This window comes from Homo sapiens, chromosome 7 (genome assembly GCF_000001405.40).
Source record: "Homo sapiens chromosome 7, GRCh38.p14 Primary Assembly".
Lineage (NCBI taxonomy): Eukaryota > Metazoa > Chordata > Mammalia > Primates > Hominidae > Homo > Homo sapiens.
Window position 1 is genome coordinate 77,414,674 of NC_000007.14, and position 20,723 is coordinate 77,435,396.

The window sequence follows — 20,723 nt, forward strand, 5'->3', positions numbered from 1 at the left end:
ACATAAGACTGTGGCATTTCACACTCATCTAACTTCTCATTTGCAGACACCTGCCATTTAGCAAAATAAAGTGGGAGTCCAGAAAAAGGAGTACTTGGTAGTAGAAGACAGAGCTGCCTGTTGTATTTCAAAAAGTTAAGCCTTCAAAAACTTTTCAGACATGTGGGCGACTTTTTTTTTTTTTTTTTTTTTTTTTTTTTTTGAGACGGAGACTTACTCTGTTGCCCAGGCTGGAGTGCAGTGGCGAGATCTCGGCTCACTGCAACCTCTGCCTCCCAGGTTCAAGCGATTCTCCTGCCTCAGCCTCCCGAGTAGCTGGGATTACAGGAGCGTGTCACCACGCCCAGCTAATTTTTGTATAAAATTCTTCCTTGACCACCCTCTCCACCTCGAAAAAAAGTAAAGCCTTACTAAGCATGACACTAATGCAAACTCAATGCATACGCTACACAAACATATAACTCCTTATTTGGAGCTAATAATATTCCAAGCCAAGGAAACCTACAAATAATTTCGCTATAGTCATAGGAGAGTGTGAAGATACAAGATAGCAACTTGATATATAACTCACATCAAGAAAACTTTCACCAGCGTTTAAGGGAAAGGAGTTGTAGATGTGGGTCATTTAATACCCACTTCCAAATTCACTGAAGTGGACAGCGCCCTACACACAAGGTGAGACCTACAGGCATCATTGCTTTGAAGCTGCATTTAAGCTCTGAAGCTCCAATATTTATAGAAGACTTTTAAAACTTTGTAAGAAATCACAAAGTTCCCCTTCTTTAAAACAGATCAGTGCTGGGAAGGCTCAAAAGTCACTTTCACTCCCTTACCAAATCATCAAAAAGCCCGGAGTGGCAGGGCCGGGAGCCGAGCATCTCGCGCGCAGCCCCAGCCTGCACAGGTGCGGAGCTCGGGGGCGGCTGGGGGCTCTCGCCCCGCCGCGCGCAGCCTGGAGGCGGCCCCTGCCCTCTTGCGCCTCACCGCCGAGGCCCATGTCCCCTGAGCCACGGACACGGTTCAACAGACACATAAACACGTCTCGCAAATGTGGGGACAAACTGTTCCACCGTTAGGTATAGGGTGGTTTGCTTGGTGGTCACGGATTCTTTCTCAAAACGTGAAGCTTCCAGGAGCACTCCTGTCTTGGCAAAGCCCCTGCGCTGCCGATGAACCCCCCGGGAGGTGGGATGCGGCCGCTGAGCTGAGCACGACCCTCTGCCCTCGCCGTGAGGTGATGCTGAGGGAACCGCCAGCGGCCCGGCCCCTCTGCCAAGGGCGAATTTCCGCGGGCCGGCAGCGAGCCAGGCGCCTCAGGCCCCACGGCGACCTGGCCCGGGCTCTGCCCCCAGACCTTCCGCCGTGGCTGGGTGTGGGTGGCAAAGCCAAAACAGCCCTCTGAGGAGGGGAGCGACGCCCTCGCACCAGCCTTCTCAGGGCGGCGACGCCCCGGGTTGCTCCCCACCGGGTCGGAGTCCGGGGGGTATGAGGGACTCCCACTCCCCGCCCCCACCCCTCTCCGCAGCGCGCCTCCCGCACCTGCGCCGCCGCTTCCGGCCCCGCTGGCCTCCGACACTGCCCGCTGCGCCCGCAACCACGGGAGCACGTCCTTCCCGAGGTCGAAGTCGGCGACCAGGCGAAGAGCCATCGCCCGGACACGACCACCGGGCGGCTCTGGGGCCCCGCACCGCGGGCATTCCCGGCCCCGCGTGGCCGCCTCGCCCTCGCGTCCCCGCTCCCGCCCCCTCTTTCCTCTCCCCCGCCCCCTGCTGCTTTCGGTTCTGCAGCGCCCTGGCCTGAGAAGCTCCGGCACCAGCTCCTCCCGGCCGGCGGCCCGCACCTGAGCCGGAGCCGGAGCCGGGCACGGCGGGTAGCGGTGGGGCGGGGTGGACCAGGCGCCAGGACCAGGCCCGCCGGGGCGGGAGGCCTCCGCGCGCACCTTCGGGGCTGAGGATAGAGGGCGCAAAGACGTGGGCGCTTCAGGGCCTTGGCGAGGCCGCTAGCCCAGTGGCTTCCAAACCTGGAGGGTCGGCCTATTTTCTTTATTCTACAAGTGCCTCCACTGTGCAGCAAAGTGTGGAAACCACTTGGCTTGAGAGAGCTGGGTCCTCTGGAGCAGTTCAGGGTCACCACAGAAGTAGGCCGTCTCTTGGGCCTATTCGCCCCAGCTTCGAGGTGGTGGTGCTTTATTAGTGTTATTAAGGTAATGAGTAGCAACTGGGAGCGTATGACGAAGGTGATCCCATTGTAAGAGAAACGCTAAAAGGGGTTAATGCGCTTGATACAAACAGCGTCCTTTTTGCCTTTTAACTCTAGTACATCTCATTTGATGCCTTGAGACATGAAAACTGAATCTTAAGTCTCCACGCAAACCCTCTGCCTCCCACCAGGGTCTAACAGAGCACTCTGGAAGGTGCTCGACAATTACTGAAGAATGAGTGAATACAGTAATAAAGAATGCTTTTTCACATGCTTCCGAAATTAAGGTCTGAAAACTACTTGTATTGACGTCATCTGGGGCACTATTTTACAATGCAGACTCCTGATCTCTACACCTGGACAAGACCAGAAACGTGCATTTTACCCAGAGCCTCGGGTGATTCTTAGGCTTACTAAGTTTGAAAACTACTCCAACCAAATGTAAAAGAAAGTCTTGAATTTTTTTCCCTCCTAGAGACATGTTTCTCCAACTGAGGTAATGGATGATTTCAGGTAGAACTCCATTACTCACCACCATATACAGAGGAAAGTCCTCCCACCCGGGAAGTGCATGCAAATTTAAGATAAATGCCTAATGAAGCTGCTAATATTATCAGTGAATAAAAGGAAGGCCACTGGAGCCCCCAAGGAGCTAATGCAACTATTTCATATCAAATAAGCTTGTTGCCTTTGTCATACAGAAACACTGTTGGCCAATTTTTTAAAGTCAGTACATTTCCATTGTTTTTATTTTTGCAGTTAACTTCTATTTTTGCCAGGCAGGACTGATTTTATAGTCAAGCAGTGATGATATAAAAAATTCTCTTCAAATTAAGTGAAAAAGCCAATGTAAAGAAGGTGAGAAACAATAAGATAATGATAGAAAGATGTGGCCAAAATCATGAGGGTGCTATATGAAGGCATGTGTATCAGTTAGGATTAGATTCTCCAGAAGTTAATAAGAACTCAGATTAACAGTAAATTAAACACACAAGTTTTATTCTGTCACCTAGCTGGACGTAGGCAGAATAAAGCTCTTAGGGCAGGTTCCTGAATTTATCAGGGACCCAGGCTCCTTCCAGTTCTTTGCTCCACCTGATCCTGAGTGTACCCTTGTCCTCATGATCAAAGAGGGCTGCAGAAGCTTCAGCCTTCACGTCTGCATTCCAGAAATCAGAATGGAAGAAGAGGAATAAAAAGAGGATGCTACCTCTCTTTTAAGGATACTTCCCGGAAGTTCTACACAACATTTCTACGTATGTTTCACTCACCAGAATTTAGTCACATGGCCAAATGTAGCTTTCAAGGGAGGCAAGGAAATATACCTGGCCATTGCTGTGCCCAGATAAAAATCAGGACGGTATTACTGAAGAAGGTGGGGAAAGTAGATATTCAGAAGCAATTAGAGATCTCTGTCAGAGTATGATACCCGATTCCGGCCACTGAGTTGTAAGGAAACCTCTGCTATGACAGATTTCTCTATTCTTAAAACAAGAGACATGGGAAAAGATGGTCCCTTTCAGTCTTTAACTATTTCGGGATCTAGATATGATTGCTGGAATTTCAGCCATCTAGCACACTGAAAATGGAGTCATTGGAGTCAGGAGAGTCCAGAGAACTGCAGAGAAGAGAAACCTTGGTAAATTATTTTTGGAGCCATCCTCTGCCCTTTCTGATATTAGAGATGTTGAATTTCCTATTGTTTAAATGATATTCAGTCAGACTTTTATTTTACTTGCAACCAAGGGTTTCAATTTTAAGGAGTGATCATTTCAAAATTTAGGGCACAGGCCAAAGAGCACTATAATAATAGGTTTGTGTTTGAACACTTATTAGAACACATTCTATATTTTGTATTGTTAACATAAAATGAAGTTATGTTGAGGGAGTAGGCTTACAGGAAACAGCTCAGATAAGCAAAAAGAGTTTGTTGCAAAGCCCTGAAAACCTAAGGGCCTCTGGATTAGATCACCTGAAAGTCATTCTACGTATCATGCAAGCCAGTTTGAGTTGGGTTTTCTGTTACTTGTGCCAAAAGCATCTTAAATCAGGGATTTTCAAACTTTAATGAGCATTCAAATCACCTAAGGATCTTGATAAAAGGTAGATTCTGATTCAGCAGGGTGAGGTGGTGCTGAAGAGTCTACATTTTAACGAGTTTCCAGGTCATGCCAAAGCTGCTGGTCCACAGATGACATTTTGAATAGCAACATTCTGCTACTTAATGTGAGGAGCTTTCCACCTCTGTATTGCTGCCTTACTGTCCACCATAGAGAGGGCCAGGTGAGGAAATGCATGAAATGGCTAGCTTTGAAGATATACCAGAGCTAAAGGTCGGTATGTGAGGAGAAATCTAAAATGGAGGTAAATATTGATTCCAGAAGTTTGAACCACGCCATGAGTCACAAGTTTTAGTAGCAAGCCACAGAGAATCAGCTAAAGGGAGGAGATAAAGGTGCTTACACTATAGTAGAGATGCAAGCACAAGGCAAGAAAAGAGGTGAAGCAATGCAGAGAATCAGAATCTTCAAAATTATGATTCTTGTGCACACCGAAGTTTGGGGAGCACTGGTCTAGCTATCTGGTGCTTTAAATGGAGGTGGTTTTCTTTCCTTCTCTTCGTGACTGGATTACTGAGTTTCAAGCCTGTGTTGATTTGTTGCAGAGCAGAGACCTCACCAAGATGCAGTAGGCAAGAGGGGAGAGGAATATGAGTCCTCCGAAACACACACTCTGTGCACAGCACAACACAGTGATCCTAATAAAATAAATAGGCATCCTAAATCAAGGTGATCTACTTTACATATGTTCACTAACTTTTCAGTGTTCTTCTTAGTATAATTTCAAGAATAGTATTAAAGATTTATACAAGAGAAGATGAAAACAGTTGTGGTTTTTCTAGAGAATTTTTAAAACTACATAAGATGTTCAAGATGAATAATTCCTGAATTGCCAATTCCAAGTGCTGTTATAATAAAGATGTCTTTGCAGTCATTTCATAGCAGTTTTTTATTCTGTCCTAAAAATGAAGCACATTGACACCCTACATATTTTCTTCATCTAACAGTTTTATTTAGATATTTTTTTAAAATAGAAGATATAGTCCTATTTCTTAACAGTTACAAGTGGAATTCCAAGGACTTTCCCAACTCCTAACTGTTAACAATAGTTTTCTGTGGGGAACGTAACTCAGTGAAGGTTGTTTTTTGTTTTTGTTTTTGTTTTTGTTTAACGTTAGGCACATGTTAGCTTTTCAATTTTAAAAACTAGCTTAATTTTTAAAAATGTATCTTCACTCAGATTTTGACTATAAAATTATTGTTCAGCCTTTAAGGGACCATCTTCCTGACAACTTCGGCTAATTTTTGTCCTGTGTAGTTACATAGATGGCTACATGCTCAGGGCCATCATATATTGTTGTTTTTTGTTTTTTTTTTGAGACAGGGTCTCACTCAGTTGCCCAGGCTTGAGCATAGTGGCGCGATCTCGGCTCACTGTAACCTCCGCTTCCTGGGTTCAAACGATTCTCCTGCCTTAGCCACCTGAGTAGCTGGGATTACAGGCACGCGCCACCACACCCAATTAATTTTTGTATTTTTAGTAGAGACAGGGTTTCGCCATGTTGGTCAGGCTGGTCACGAACTCATATTGTTTTTATTTGTTTTCTTAGAAAGCTGACACTGAGTTTAGCAATGATTAATAGAATAACTCTTTAAATCTGCTTGGTTATTATTTATGATGTTAGAGTGAAAGCACTCATCCTGAAATTTGTTGAAAAGAAGACTGACACAGATTTTTTTACGGAAATTTTCTGTGGAATGATAGCCCTATGACTTGGCAGGAAATAAAGAACTGCCATTTGACAAGATGGGCTAGACAACAATTCAAATATTCTAAAGGAACTACATCTGATTTAATCAAAGGAACAAGGAAGAACTGAGGTGAAAATAGAGTACTAAACATTTCTGAGAGCAAGAATGCTTCACTAAGTTCCTTTTAAAGTTTTGTTGATGAACAAATATTAACTGTATGGAGTTACTATATCTCAAATAGAACAATGGAATGTACAAAATATAAAGAGATCATCTGAGAAATACATAATCATATGAAAGTTATGTTGCCATCTATGATAACTCATTTCACAGGATAAATGAATACATGGATTTTAGTATCATTTGTAATGACCAAGAAAGAAAGGATGTTATATTCTATATCAGTCAGAAAACACTCCATTTTAAGTGGCTTGATTCTTCTCTTATTAAAACTGTATCATTTTCAAACAGAAACTTAATCTTGTGACTTCCACGTAAATGTTCTTCCCCTTTCCTCCTTTTCCTTCCTACTTTTCACGCTTTATTCCTTCCCCTTCCACTTCTAAACAATTCCATCCTAAAACTACCAGATTAGACAAAGAAAAGCAAGCCTCTGCACAGGGGTTTGGAGCAAGGTGTTGACCAAAATTTGGATGTCAGAACTCAAGCAGGGAGAAGAGGTTATCCCTGGGGGATGGTGTGGGGACTAGGGAATGGTCACCCAGCATGAGATGTCAGAGTCTAAGTAGGGTGAGAAGGGTGTCCATGTGGGCCATGTGGGTGGATGAGTGGGCAAGGAGTGGTTGTCCAGCCTAGGGTGTCAGATTTCACGTGGCTTAGAGAGGGCATCTGCCAAGGATGGGAGTGGGAGCTGAGACGAGGTTGAATTATTTAAGTGAATGTGTTAAGAATAATGTGACCCATGTCTCTCACTGGCAGGCAAAAGAGTCACAAAAAAGAAAAAAAATAGCTGTAGTGTTGGATTGGAATTATAAATATTGGGGTAAACATAGTTTTTATTTATTTATTTATTTTTATTTATTTATTTGTTTTTGAGATGGTGTCTCTCGCCCTGTCTCCAGGCTAGAGTGCAGTGGTGCGATCTCGGCTCACTACAACTCCTACCTCCTGAGTTCAAGCGATTCTCCTGCCTCAGCCTCCCGAGTAGCCAGGACTACAGGTACGTGCCACCATGCCTGGCTAATTTTTGTATTTCTAGTAGAGACAGGGTTTCACCATGTTGGCCAGGGTGGTCTCGATCTCTTGACCTCATGATCCACCCACCTCCGCCTCCCAAAGTGCTGGGATTACAGGCGTGAACCACCGTGCCCAGCCAACATAGTTTTTAATACACAGATGATGATAGGGAGATAGAGGGGTAGATATCATAATAAATATGCATATGCATGTATGCACATACACACATATATTCTTTAGTTCTGTCCACTGAACATCGGGGAGCAGCAATGCCCCTATATCAATCAACACGTCTGGCATAAAGAAAGATGAACCTGGAACACCTTGTAGTGCCAGAAAGCAAGAACATGCTCAAAGAACCATGAGGACATGTCAGAAGGACACAGCAGCCAGTGTGAATGAAACCCCTGTCGCAAAAATTATAACAGTGAGAAAATTATGACAGTGAAAGAGATCTGACCTAATTGACTCCAACTTGCTTCAAATCTCCAAGCTGTCCTTGTTCATTCCTGGATGTAGGCCAAACTAACTTTGAGAGGAACTTAACTTTAACTTTGAAACAAAGATGATAACAGCCTTTTCCCAAAACATACCCCCTTCTTGCCTGGGGACCAGACTGCCTTTGTAGGACTAACAAGTTAGATACAAGATCAGAAATTATGGTTTAAGAGTCATGCAGCCAGAAACCCCAAGATCACTAACCCCCCCAATTGCTCCTATAATAACATCAGTATTGTAAAACCCAATATTGGTGTTTGAGGTCTTTTTCAGACCTTGTACTCCATGGATCAGCTGGTCCCACCCAGATCAATAAACTGGCTCATCTGGTCTTACAACCCCCACCCAGGAACTGACTCTGCACAAGAGGACTCCTTATGATTTCATCCAACCTGACCAATCAGCACTCCCCACTCCCTGTTCCCCAACCTGCCAAATTATCCCTAAAAGCCCAAGTCCCTGAATTTTCAGGGAGACTGATTTGAGTAATAATAAAACTTTGGTTTCCTGTTCAGCCAGCTCTGCATGAGTTGAACTCTTTATTGCAATTCCTGTGTCTTGATAAATTGACTCTATCTGGGCAGGGCAAAATGAACCCATTGCGCAGTTACATGAAGGAGCTTCCAACTGGCCAGATCTGGGACAATTTGAACATCAAAATACACAACGGCAATAAAGAAGTATAACTTATTAAAACAAGAAACCATAAGTCCATAGGAATATAGATACATATATATGTATATGCATATGATATCTGTATATATACAGATATATATGTATTAAAATATATACATATATTAAAATACATGTAATATATGTATTAAAAATACATATATATACATTGAAAGTTTGAGGAACAGGACATCTAGTTTCCAAATACTATCCCACAAAATACTTATTAAGCCTGCTATACATCACTTTAATTAAGTGAACATCATCAGTAATAGGACAAATGGAAATCATAGGATACAACCTCTTCCAGAAATGAATAACCTTAATCTAATCATGAGGAAACAGCAGACAAAACCAATGGAAGGACATTCTACAAAATAACTGAACTGTAATCTTTTGAAGTGTCGAGGTCATGAAAGCCACTGAAAGACTGAGAACTGTTCCAGAAAGGAGACTAGAGAGACATGGCAGCCAAATGCTCCACATAATCCTGTCCTGGATTCTTCTCCTACAAAGGAAGGGGTCTGAGGATTAGGTGGTAGTACTGAATCAAGGTTAGTTCCCTGATTTTGATGTTTGTACTGTGGTTATATAGGAGAATGTTCTTTTTTTTTTTTTAATAGTTTTTTCATGTCAGATGGGTAATGTCCCAACATTGTACCAAGATTCGAGGGTGGCACATGTCACATATGAGCATGTGAACACCCGATCATCATGCTTATGAACTACGAAAGGATCAGAGAATATTCCTGTTTGTACAAAATACATCCTAAAGTATCTGGGAGTAATGGGACATCAGATCAGCAGTTATTCTCAAATAGCTCAAAAAAACATGTTTCCTATATTAAACTCCCAACTTTTCTGTAAGTTTGTGATTGTTTCAAAATGGAAAAAAAAATTTTTTTTTTGAGACAGGGGCTCTCTCTGTCACCCAGGCTGGAGTGCAGTGACATGATCACAGCTAACTGCAACCTCCACCTCCTGGGCTCAAGCAATTCTCCCACCTCAGCCTCCAGAGTAGTTGGGACTACAAGTGTGTACCACCATACTCGGATAATTTTTTAATTTTTTTGTAGAGACAGGGTCTCACTATCTTGGCAGGCTAGTCTTAAACTCCTGGGCTCAACTGATCCTCCCAAAGTGTTGGAATTACAGGCAAGAGCCACCATGCCTGGCCTGAAATAAACATATATACTTTTTTTTTTTTTTTGAGATGGAGTCTCACCCTGTCTCCCAGGCTGGAGTGCAGTGGTGCAATCTCGGCTCACTGCAACCTCCGCCTCCCGGGTTCAAGCAATTCTTCTGCCTCAGCCTCCTGAGTAGCTGGGACTACAGGCACGTGCCATCGTGCCTGGCTAATTTTTTGTGTTTTTAGTAGAGACAGGGTTTCACCGTGTTAGCCAGGATGGTCTCGATCTCCTGACCTCGCAATCTGCCTGCCTCGGCCTCCCAGATTGCTGGGATTACAGGCGTGAGCCACTGCGCCCAGCCGAAAAATATTTTTTAAAATCATAAATGTTATCAGAAGGACTGGTATTTCTGAAGTCTCATAAAGTTTTTTTCTTTTTCCCCCACGTAAGGAACTATCATCTCCTATTGTGCTGTAGGCAAACTTGAGTGACATGGGTAAGTTTGATTTAAAACACTGAATTAAAAGATGCAAGGGCTTTACATTAGATTGCATTTTCCCCCCACTGTACTGCAAACCCCTAATGAAATTAACCGCATTTATTGGCCTTGTGCTGTATGAATTTAATTCTCCAAAACTGGCTGAAATAAGCCATAGTCAAATAACAGAAGAAGCTTAATGAAAAGTGTTATTTTTACCTTTTAAATGACTGTCCTTTCCTCTATAATAAGAAACTTCCATTAACTGGTCTCAGGAAAAAAATTACTAAAATCAAACTTTTTTTGCAAAATAATCATATGACTTAATTGCACAGGCAAATTCATGACAAGGAATAAATAATATCTATTACAGAAATATTTTCATTAAAATATACACATTGACTTCCTGAAATCCTTTGTGAATTTCATGAGTAGCACTTAGCCATTTTAAAAGAAATGTATGACAGATACTTGTGTGTGTGGCAGATTTTTAATGTCCAACTGCCATGTGTTCTGTACATAGATTTTTTTTCTCAAATTTCTAAACACAGTGGAAGCCACCAGAGAGAATATCTGAAGCAATTCATTAAAATCTTGGCAGCCAGACCCCAGCTCCCACTTTCCCTGAAAGCTCCCTTTAATGAAGCTGAACGCTGTCCCAGCAATTCCCTCCACAGAAGACCTACTGTCACCACCTCTGGAGGGGCAATTCCTGGAGGAACCAAGTCAGCCAATCGAAGGTCCTGAATAAGCAAAAACTAAGTAAATAAATTACCATCTCGAAAGTGATGGGTTAGTGTGCTCTTTTGAATGCCCCGTAGGAAAATAAATTTGATTAAAATTAAATATTTTGTTGTACGATGTAATGCTCAAATTCAGGGGATTCTGGTGTCCCTCTGGACAGTGTCAGTTGTTGGGGGAGGAGGGAAATGCCAGCTGTCCTATGGCTGTTGAATCACAAGAGCTTATTTTCTTTGATAGGATTTTACTTTGAAAATATGTTGTAGGTGATCATAAATGAAGGATGTGCCGCCTTGCTAAGAACATTACATTTTTCTGCATTTTTCACCTGTTTGTGGCTTTGCATGTTGTTTTTTTCACTGCTGTTCCCTCCAGCCGGTTTTGATAATGAGGGCTGGGAAATTTTTCCTGATTCCAGTGCTCCACAGGAGCCTCTTGCCTCCCTCCGGTCTCCTCCCAGTGGCTATCTCTTTGGTGTCTTTGTTCTCAACACAAAATAGTCCCTGCTAGCATTGACCAAACTTCTGTGAATACTCACTGACTCATTAGCTACTTAAAGATCTTCGTTAAGCAGCTTCTTTTTTAAAATTTCAATCGTGGTTTATTTTTTATTTATCTTAGCATGAATCACAATATACAAAAGAAACCTGACTTAACATGGGTTATAAAAGAATTACCATATCATAGAAAATTGTTTTGAAAAAGATTTTATTGTGCAAAAAAAAAAAAAAGCAAACCTCTGAACCTTTCTTTACATGAATGCTAATAATACAGACGACTTTAGAGAAATTGAAACTAGCCCAGCCTGTTCGAAAGGGGATCCAAGCAGTTCATCACCAAAACGGCCACAGCTCAGCTCTCTTAAAACCCGTTATTTTCTGAAAATAATCTGTAGAAGTATTGAGATTCGTAGGCAATATTTTAAACATTTTATGAAGGATTCCATTAGTTTCCCTCTTGTGTTTAATTTTTTGAACTATGTTTAATTTAAACCCTCTTCATTCTCAAAAATCTACATCTTTCCCAGATTTTAAAAGAGGCTACCTCCTCCACCACAGAATTTTTCTTTAAGAAGACAATCAGCACGTCTATCTTTTTAGTCAAGATCCATCTCTGGATCTGCTAGAAGAGAGACTATGGAGACAAATTAGAGTCCATGGGAAAGCGATATCTCTGTCCCCTGCGTGGAAGCAGCATGCCATCAGAATGCTTAGTATTAATCGCAAACTGAACCCTGTAATGTGTCACCTTTCTCTTCAGGGCCTCCAGCTTTCCAAATGTCCATCTAATCTGTGTCCACCCCCGGGAGCAGATAGTAGTTTCCCGTGTTCTTTGATAGTATCAAAACTTTGTCACTTAAGAAAAAGCCTGATATTTACACCAGGTTGGCCAAATGCTCAGCTGAGTCTCAAGAGGGTAAAGAATTTCAGGCATTTAAAAAAAAAGAAAAGAAAAAGGCCAGCAATGGAGTCATGTATTTAGTACTTGACTCAGAGTTAACAGGCCTGGATTCTTGAGGCAGCCCTGGCATGAACAGGCTCTGTGACCTTAGGCAAGTTGCTTAACTTTTCTGAACTTGGTTTTCTCATTTGTAAAATAAAAGAAGTTGAACTATGATCCCCAAGGCCCCATTTGCTTAACAGTGCTGATTCTTAACTACAGTAGCAATAAGATCATCAAAAAAATTCACTTCCCAATCCCTGTCACCAAGTTCATATGCAGAGAGACAGAGGGGCTTAGGAGAAAACTGCAACCTAGTAACCAAGGAAACATGAAAATTTTAACAGTGAAAGACATCCTGTGTAGCAAATTCTACAAAGTGAACCAGGAAAATAGAATTAAGGATGAAGAAATAGGCTGGGCGCGGTGGCTCACGCCTGTAATCCCAGCGCTTTGGGAGGCTGAGACAGGTGGCTCACAAGGTCAAGAGATCGAGACCATCCTGGCCAACATGGTGAAACTCTGTCTCTACTAAAAATACAAAAATTAGCTGGGTGTTTTGGCACGTGCCTGTAGTCCCAGCTACTTGGGAGGCTGGGGCAGGAGAATTGCTTGAACCCGGGAGACGGAGGTTACAGTGAGCCAAGATTGTGCAACTGCACTCCAGCCTGGTGACAGAGCAAGACTCCGTCTCAAAAAATAAAACAGGAAATAGTAGGGAGAGTTTTCAGAAACTCTCCTCTACTCCCCAACTTACCCTCAAAAATCAAATTGTAGGTTTCCCCACAGATCTCTGGAAAAAAATGCTTGATAGTTCTCTGGGGTAAACCCTTCTATTTGATCTAAGATTCAGGTAGTGTTAACTTTTGCTTCAAATGCCTTAGTCAAGATTGCTTTTACTGTTAGAAAAATCCTAACTCCTTACATACTGATTATATGCAATCTAGGTAAGTCAAGCCTTCTGCCCTGTCTGCCATTCAGAAGTCTCTTTCATGTATGTAGCTGAATAGTAATCTCATAAAATAATATTGGAATGAATAAAGACCCAGATGTCTCAGGTCATTCCATCCACGCAGTTTCCTCTTTCTCCTTCCTATATTTACATATTAATTTTAAGTCACAGGTGAAAATTAAAGCTTGCTGTCTCTCAGTCTCTCTTTGATATTGCAAAGAAATGTTACAAAGCTTCCTAAGGGAAGGTTTCTTGCAGGAAATAGTGACTCCCAGTATGATTAGTCCCCAAATCTGCCTGCTAGGCTGAGTGAAGAGGACTGAAATGCTCTGTGGGTCACAAGGTCATAAACCTCAGGAATCTGGCCACACTGTCAGGCATTCTCCGCCAAGGACTGGGGGATGTGGGTTCCTATTAGAAGCCAGGTCACCACCAGCTGAAATTGAAACATACATCATAGTCACATCCTGTTTAAGTGAAAACTAACTTCTATTTCCTGGAATTGCTTTTTGTCTGAGGAGAGGGAGTGATTGGGGTGTAGTTAAGGGTAGCTAAGGTGCATGTCATCCCTTGGAATGGGAAGCACGCAGGTTAACGGGGGATGTGGGGACTGCCCTGGAGCATCTTGTCTCTCAGCCATCTCTAGCTCACGTCTCACCCTCCCTTGTTCACCTCTCCCAAGTTCTCGAGTGAGCATTCTGGGCACAGGGAGGTCAAGAGGAAAATGGGGGAAAGTAGTGGGAAGGGTAAGTGAGATGAGAGATGGTAATGATAGAGATCAAATCCTTTTTAGGCCTCCTGTCCCTTGTTTTTCCATCTTGGAGATAGGCTCAAGCTCCGAAATTGAGGGCTACAAGAGCAATAGAGAGAAGCTTTGCTTTCATGGCTGGCACAAAATATGAACCACAAGTTAGAATATCTCCTATTTGAGCATTTATCTGGAATGAGCTCTGAATCCCAGAGGAGGAGTTTCTCCTCCAAGATACAAGTCCTGAACTGGCTCAGAAAGAGAAGCACCCTCTAACGAGTTGGTGGGATAAGCTTTGCGCTGTTTGTGATCAGCCACTCCCCGTACTGCCCACAGGCTGGCCCGCCCGTCCCAACCTTGCTATCACCCTGTGGAATGCCAATTCTAAGAGGCACTTGTATAGAGGGCTTATTAAAACACTGATTGCTAGGCTCCACCCCACAGCTTCTGATTTGCGTCTCTAACAAGTTCCCACGTGATGCTGATGTTGATGATGCTGAACCACACTTGAGAACCACTAGCCCAGCACATCGTAGGCATTTAACCAACATTTGTCGTTCATTTCACAATGGGAAGTCAAGGATGAGTGCTGCGGAACTGAAGAAGATAGGAACCATCTCATTCTGGATCTCTGAGTTTAGAAGTATTTGTTGCATGTTTCCTGCTTCCCACACTGTTCATGCAATTTTAGCAATTTTCAGGAAACAGCTGTTGCTTTCCACCTTGAGAGACAATGAAAACTTAATAATAGGTAAAACGACATTTTGGAAGAAACTGACGTACCTTATATATCTGGGACAGCCTCGCCTCTTACATAATTAACGGTAGACATTGTAGGGATTATGTAAATTGACTTGATTTTCTTTTAAATCTTTAGGAAGACTTATCAATTAAAGAAGTCTAAGTGACTTGCCAGGCTTTACACAAAAACCTTTTTTTGGTCATAAGCAAACATTTCTCACCTGAAAATTTTTTTTCTAACTCAAGTGATCAATTTTGATCATGAGTCAGAAAAATATTGGGGCAATGTGGGGTTTAGGATTGCTGCTTACTTCACGCCATTTCTTCAGCTCATCTCCTTTAGCTTCAAGGCTGAACACAAATGAGTTAAAAGGAAATGGATTACTTAAAACCTACATTTGTGGCTCATTTTCCATTCACCAAACTCTCTCCTCCTTCCTCTTAGACATACACACTTTGGGAAAACCTCACAGAGCATGAAGAGCCAGCTTTTTTTGTTTTGTTTTGTTTTGTTTTTGAAAACAGTCTTGCTCTGTCACCCAGGCTGGAGTGCAGTGCAGTGGCGGGATCTCAGCTCACGGCAACATCTGCCTCTGAGGTTCAAATGATTCTTGTGCCTCAGTCTCCCCAGTAGCTGGGATTACGGGCGCACCCCACCAGGCCCGGCTAATTTTTGTATTTTTAGTAGAGATGGGGTTTTGCCATGTTGGCCAGGCTGATCTCAAACTCCTGGCTTCAAGTGATCTGCCTGCCTCGGCCTCCCAAAATGCTGGGATTACAGGCCTGAGCCACCGCGCCCGGCAGAGCCAGCTTTTATTTAATGAAACTGAATAATGCGTATTCATCAATATATCGATAACTGGAATTAAGATTTGCAAGGACCACTGCAACGACAATATATATTCTTGCAACTATACTCCTCCTTGCTCAAAAAGCTTTATAGGCTTTCAAAATGAATGCCTGTAACATCCCTCTGAGGTAAATGAGGAGCAGGTGTAATTATCTTCTCTTCACAGATGGACAGGCAGACACAAAGGAATGGACTGAATCAGCCAGGAAGGGAATCAAGCTAAGGACCTAAATAATTCTAATACAATCTGCCTGTCTTGTCAGTGCTGCTTTCCTTCGATGCATGAAAATCTGTATTGTGGGAAACTCTGAAGGTATTGTTTTTGTATTCTTTAGTGATGTAAGAAACAAAACTCCGCACAGACACCTAAAGAGAGGAAGTGATGGGACTGGTAAATATGGGTGGCAGCAGGGCAAGTCTATAAAAATCAAATTTAATTTTGCTGGATAATATGATCAAGGCCCTTCAATGCTGGATTCCATCAGCATCTGATCAGCCAGTAGCATGCTGCTATTTACATAAAAGCACGCAGAGAAGGGGTAATATTAAACTAATAGACATTATCGTATGGCTACAAACCTCTAAAAGTATTCAACATTTGGGAAGTACTAAGCAACTGGAAATTTTTTCAATGACAATAGTTTTCGGTGCAACAGGCTTAGAAATCTACTGTCTCTGGCCAGAAGCCAGATTGCTGACACAAAACAGCAGAGCCACAGACCCCAGGGAGAGGAGAATAACAGTAGCCCCAAAACTGGCACTACTAACCCTGTTTCATATTATGCTGTTTTGTTAAGAAGAAATTCATACTACAAAAACAGGGTCGTTTAGGAATTATACGTTTTAATGATCTCACCTTTTAAGCAATGGACACATTGACAGGATCATCAACCAGAAGGCCTGGAAGAGTCTCCACACTGCTGCCTTCCGCGTGGCCCCTCCGCATACCCCAGCATCTGAGGTCATCTGGCAGCAAAATCCCCAGCTTACCAGAGACCTCATTATTCCTGTCCCTCAGACACAGTTACCTCCTCAAGGCCAGCGACCTCCATGAAAGCTCTCCTGCCCAGATGCCTCCATCCCAGAGGTCGTGAGACTGCAGGAAATGAAAGGCTGCAGCAGGGAGAGGCCTCAAACTACAATGGTTTGGGGTTTTCCTTTTCTATAATACTGTTCTTTACCAAGTGGAGTACATTTTGAAGTGCAGAATTCAATTCAAGGATAGAACAGAAATACACAAAGTTCTCGAGAGAGCCAGAGATTATAATATGGGTAAACTGCTATTCTAAAAGGTACTAGGGTCCAGGCATGGTGGCTCATGCCTGTAATCCCAACACTTTGGGAGGCCGAGGTGGGTGGATCACTTGAATCCAGGAGTTTGAAACCAGCCTGGGCAATATGGTGAAACCCCATCTCTATAAAACTACAATAAATGAGCCTAGCTGGGTGGTGCACACCCGTAGTCCCAGCTACTCGGGAGGCTGAGGTGGGAGGATCGCTTGAGCCTGGGAGACAGAGGTGGCAGTGAGCCCAGATCATGCCACTGCACTCCAGCCTGGGCAAAAGAGTGAGACCCTGTCTCAAAAATTAAAAGTTAAAAAATAATAAAAAGTATTACCCTTAAAATTCAAACAATAAAAATAAAGGAAGGGTCTTATCTATACAGTTCCTTCTAATATTTTGAGGTGGATAAGGTAACATAATACATATACAACTACCTACAAAGACTGATTATGTAAAGATATAAATAGGTATTTAAAGGGAGAGTTACAGTTCTAATAAAATAAAACTTACAGCTTAATCAAACACATCTGATGTTATACTTAGTTGTTGTGTTACATGGTAAGAAGATACAGCAGTAAGGAGATCACTGAAATGACTGGAATTAGGGCTATTTTACACTGCCTTAGGTTTTTTCAGGAGTTTTGTTGTTGTTGTTACCTTGATAGTTGAGAATCTTTACACCAGCAATATTATTAGTCCATCAATCAATATTACCAGCTTTCCATAATACCATAAATTTTTTTGATGATCATCATTCACACAGATGTATTCACATTGGGGGGGAAGAAAACAGGGCTGAATCCAATTTCTTCTTACCCAGAGATTTCCTTGTTCCTCCCCCACAACTTCTGTCCATGTACCTCATGGGTCTTCATTCTGCCAGCTCTCACTATGTACATTAGCAATTTTTCTTAAAGTTGTCAGGTCAAAAAAAAATCATCTAAAGAAAAAACAGGCTGGGCACGGTGGCTCACGCCTGTAATTCCAACACTTTGGGAGGCCCAGGCGGGCAGATCACGAGGTGAAGAGATTGAGACCAGCCTGGCCAATATGGTGAAACCCCGTCTCTACTAAAAATACAAAAATTAGCTGGGCGTGGTGGCATGCGCCTGTAGTCCCAGCCACTCGGGAGGCTGAGGCAGGAGAATCACTTGAATCTGGGAGGTGGAGGTTGCAGTGAGCCAAGATCATGCCACTGCACTTCAGCCTGGCGACAGAGTGGGACTCCGTCACAAAAAAAAAAAAAAAAAAAAAAAAAAAAAGTAAAGAAAAAACAAACAAAAAACTTTCAGGGCCATTCAATTAGCTAAATCAGAATATCCAAGGGAAAAGCTTAGAGAATCTGTATATTTAACAAGCAGCACAGGTAATTCTTATTAAGTGAGTTCAGGCAATACCGTACTATAGGGTCCGTATTTTCTGAGTCAAAATCAGAGCTCGCGTATTTTTTTTAACTAGTTAGTGAACTTATTTACAAAACAATCTCCTAAGATATACTTACCTCAAATACTTTTATAAATAAGATGGAATACAAATAAATGGTTTAAAGATGATAGATATTAAATTGCATTTTGGCATATTTTATAAAACTTCTTTTTTTTTCCCAAAAGAAGAAGATGGCTTTACCTGAAATGAGAACCATCTTGAATGTATAGCCCCTTTCTGGCCAGGAGTTCTGAAGTGGCGGGGATCAATGCTCAGAACTCCCCAGGGGAGCTGGGTACTAGTAGGTGAGACAGTCAATCCTGAGCAAGGGGGTGCGGGGCGGGGAGCCTGACGGGGAAGAGCAGGCCAAAACGGTGGCACAGAAAAAAGGAAAGGAGAATAAAAACAGATTGGATCCCAGACATCTGAGAGGGAAAGGGATAAAACATGTCAAAATTAAGGAAGGGGCTAAGACTGTGTTGGTGGTGCTGCAATCACCACTAGGTATTCACCACCTTCCAAAGAATATACACTCTGAAGCTGTGACTACTGTCGTTTATCCAGTATACCCTTTGGATACAAAATAGGGTTAGAGAAGACAAACACCATGTCTTCAGTTTCTTAAGTTCCTTCTCTAAAAACAACCAAAGAAGATTTATTTTTAAAGTCACCTAAGATATAATTGGCTGTAAAAACAGCAAGATGGACTATGCCCAAAGAAATATACATTCCCCTAGGAAGGAAGAAAGTATTATTTATTATGTACTTGTTCTATGTTAAATACTGTGGAAGGTACTCTGATGTGTGGGTCTGATATTCATTCCACAAATTCTTCTCAAGGATCTGTCAGGTGCTAAGCACTGGTTTAGGAGCTAAGAATATAGAACAAAAAAAGGATGGTCTGTGCCTTCATGAAACTTACAATCTAGGGAAGACAGACATTTAAAATAAACATATATGAGATCTCAAGCGGCAATAAAAAATAAAAATAACTAACATAAACACATAAATGTGAGTGGTGTGGTGGGTTTAAAATGTATGGCCATATCCCAGATGTGCTGGAATATACTTTTAACTTTTCTGATGGCATTCAACTTAACTCTTGCATCCCCTTTCTGCTAATGAAAGGAAAATTAACTCAGTCTTGTCATTTGAAGATAACTTAGCCTCTTTCAGTATAAAATGAGTAAGTATTCAAAGTTCTCCTCTTCCTTCTTCTGTTTCCCTTTTTCGGGAGGATGGCCCAATTTCCTCTAGAAAGCCTTAACTATCCTCCAGCGTCAGGGCACAAGGGGCTTCTATGGTGTGGTTGTCCACATGGCCCTTGCTGGGTCACATACGTGCATCAGCTGAGGTGCAGTTTATCACAAGTGGTATCTGGCATTCATTGCTGGTGTTCATGGTCCCTGCCATTGCTTCCAGCCCCAAAGTCCACACACGCCATCTTTCCTCGTTCCATGGACACCTTGGCATTTTTCCACTACCCTCAAATCCCTCAGGACTCAGAACCTTTCAACAATTTCCCCACACTATCCTGGAATGTGCAGGGTTCTGTAACGCTGTCCTCGGCCCATCTGCATTTCAAACTTGAGATGTTCCTAAATAAGTGCGGTTATTACAGTTACCTCCTTTGGTTTTGCCCCAACAGGAAACAGGGTGCTGGGGGCTTCTCTTCAGTATCTACTAGCATCTGTACTCTCACCTTTTCTGAATCTCTTCTTCCTATCTATTTGGAGGACTGACCACACTGTTAATACAACAAGCCTATGAAATGAAGAAATAGCCCAAACCTCAGTTAAGGGTGAGAATCAAGTAAAGAACGGCATACATATGGGATAACCTTTGCCCAGGAACCTAGTTCTTCTTCCCAGGGGAGGAGAAAAGGGGAAGGAAGAATTGAATTTGACTTGGTGCTTAGTCACAAGAGAAAAAGTTCCCATCTGGAAATGAATATCACAAATTGTCAAATGTATATTTTCCTATTCCCAGCTGGAAACCATGCTTGTGGTTTTATACAGAACTCCCTTGTGCTCAAAGTTACATTCATGCACTCCTGACTTTTCTAACTATAAAAATGTCAAAGTCTGCTACAGTTTCATCCTGACAATTGCTGGGAAGGAAAAGTAGCGGGTATTCTGAAAAGATACAGCAAGAGGTCCAATTTAGATTAGAGAACAGGAAGGGATTGGGGCAAGAGAGACAAACTTTCTCAGCCTGATAGCAGCTAACCAGTCACAGCGCCCACAGGCAGCTGGGATCCACCAGAAATGCTGGTTTCTCTGACTTCCAGTTGTTATCATTAGTGTCCAAAATTAACCAGCAAAATTAAATGAAATCTGATAATAATATGCATGAACATTTCCTTTAATGTTTCAAGCTGGCTTGTAACTACACCATGGGCATGAAAGCAGCAAAATCCAGACTGCAAGGAAAGCTACAGCTCAAAAATCTGTTTTCCTCAACAAATAAATTACAAGGAGAATACAGAGAGAGAAGTAACATGTAGATCAAGGAGAAATCATCACAATGTGTGGCACTGGAGGCTGATTTTCTTTA

General features: G+C 42.5%; 1 protein-coding gene, 1 long non-coding RNA gene and 1 other non-coding gene across 29 annotated transcripts in view, besides 6 other annotated features; 1 reads left to right on the forward strand and 2 right to left on the reverse strand.

Annotated features, from left to right (window-relative positions):
* The window catches only part of GSAP (gamma-secretase activating protein), a 105,880-nt gene extending 103,923 nt beyond the window's left edge, over positions 1-1,957 (reverse strand). For 23 of the 27 annotated variants that reach the window (NR_146938.2, NR_146937.2, XR_007060056.1 and 20 more), the window contains exon 1: positions 1,540-1,676. Coding sequence is in view for 15 of the 27 variants with exons in the window: in NM_001350898.2 (NP_001337827.1) it covers positions 1,540-1,648 (109 nt within the window). In the remaining 12 variants the exon portion in view is untranslated. The other 4 variants (XM_047420491.1, XM_047420494.1, XM_047420493.1 and 1 more) reach the window with 4 other exon arrangements.
* Positions 525-10,771, forward strand: LOC101927243 (uncharacterized). The gene is made up of 5 exons (NR_110073.1): positions 525-675; positions 7,094-7,191; positions 8,781-8,932; positions 9,959-10,004; positions 10,538-10,771. It is a non-coding gene; the product is annotated as an uncharacterized LOC101927243 (long non-coding RNA).
* Positions 842-1,131: a silencer, noted in NCBI's record as "silent region_18320". NCBI's record gives its function as "represses an Ori minimal core promoter by ATAC-STARR-seq in GM12878 lymphoblastoid cells {active_cell/tissue: GM12878}" and the evidence as "EXISTENCE:reporter gene assay evidence [ECO:0000049][PMID:35858748]".
* Positions 1,192-1,401: a silencer, noted in NCBI's record as "silent region_18321". NCBI's record gives its function as "represses an Ori minimal core promoter by ATAC-STARR-seq in GM12878 lymphoblastoid cells {active_cell/tissue: GM12878}" and the evidence as "EXISTENCE:reporter gene assay evidence [ECO:0000049][PMID:35858748]".
* Positions 1,622-1,971: a silencer, noted in NCBI's record as "silent region_18322". NCBI's record gives its function as "represses an Ori minimal core promoter by ATAC-STARR-seq in GM12878 lymphoblastoid cells {active_cell/tissue: GM12878}" and the evidence as "EXISTENCE:reporter gene assay evidence [ECO:0000049][PMID:35858748]".
* LOC124901830 (small nucleolar RNA U13) lies at positions 9,010-9,115 on the reverse strand. The gene has a single exon (XR_007060666.1). It is a non-coding gene; the product is annotated as a small nucleolar RNA U13 (small nucleolar RNA).
* Positions 10,403-11,101: an enhancer, noted in NCBI's record as "OCT4-NANOG-H3K27ac hESC enhancer chr7:77054393-77055091 (GRCh37/hg19 assembly coordinates)". NCBI's record gives its function as "activates a minimal SCP1, AML or CMV promoter by ChIP-STARR-seq in naive H9 embryonic stem cells {active_cell/tissue: H9 hESC(naive)}" and the evidence as "EXISTENCE:reporter gene assay evidence [ECO:0000049][PMID:30033119]".
* Positions 11,102-11,799: an enhancer, noted in NCBI's record as "OCT4-NANOG-H3K27ac hESC enhancer chr7:77055092-77055789 (GRCh37/hg19 assembly coordinates)". NCBI's record gives its function as "activates a minimal SCP1, AML or CMV promoter by ChIP-STARR-seq in naive H9 embryonic stem cells {active_cell/tissue: H9 hESC(naive)}" and the evidence as "EXISTENCE:reporter gene assay evidence [ECO:0000049][PMID:30033119]".
* Positions 12,499-13,195: an enhancer, noted in NCBI's record as "NANOG-H3K27ac hESC enhancer chr7:77056489-77057185 (GRCh37/hg19 assembly coordinates)". NCBI's record gives its function as "activates a minimal SCP1, AML or CMV promoter by ChIP-STARR-seq in primed H9 embryonic stem cells {active_cell/tissue: H9 hESC(primed)}" and the evidence as "EXISTENCE:reporter gene assay evidence [ECO:0000049][PMID:30033119]".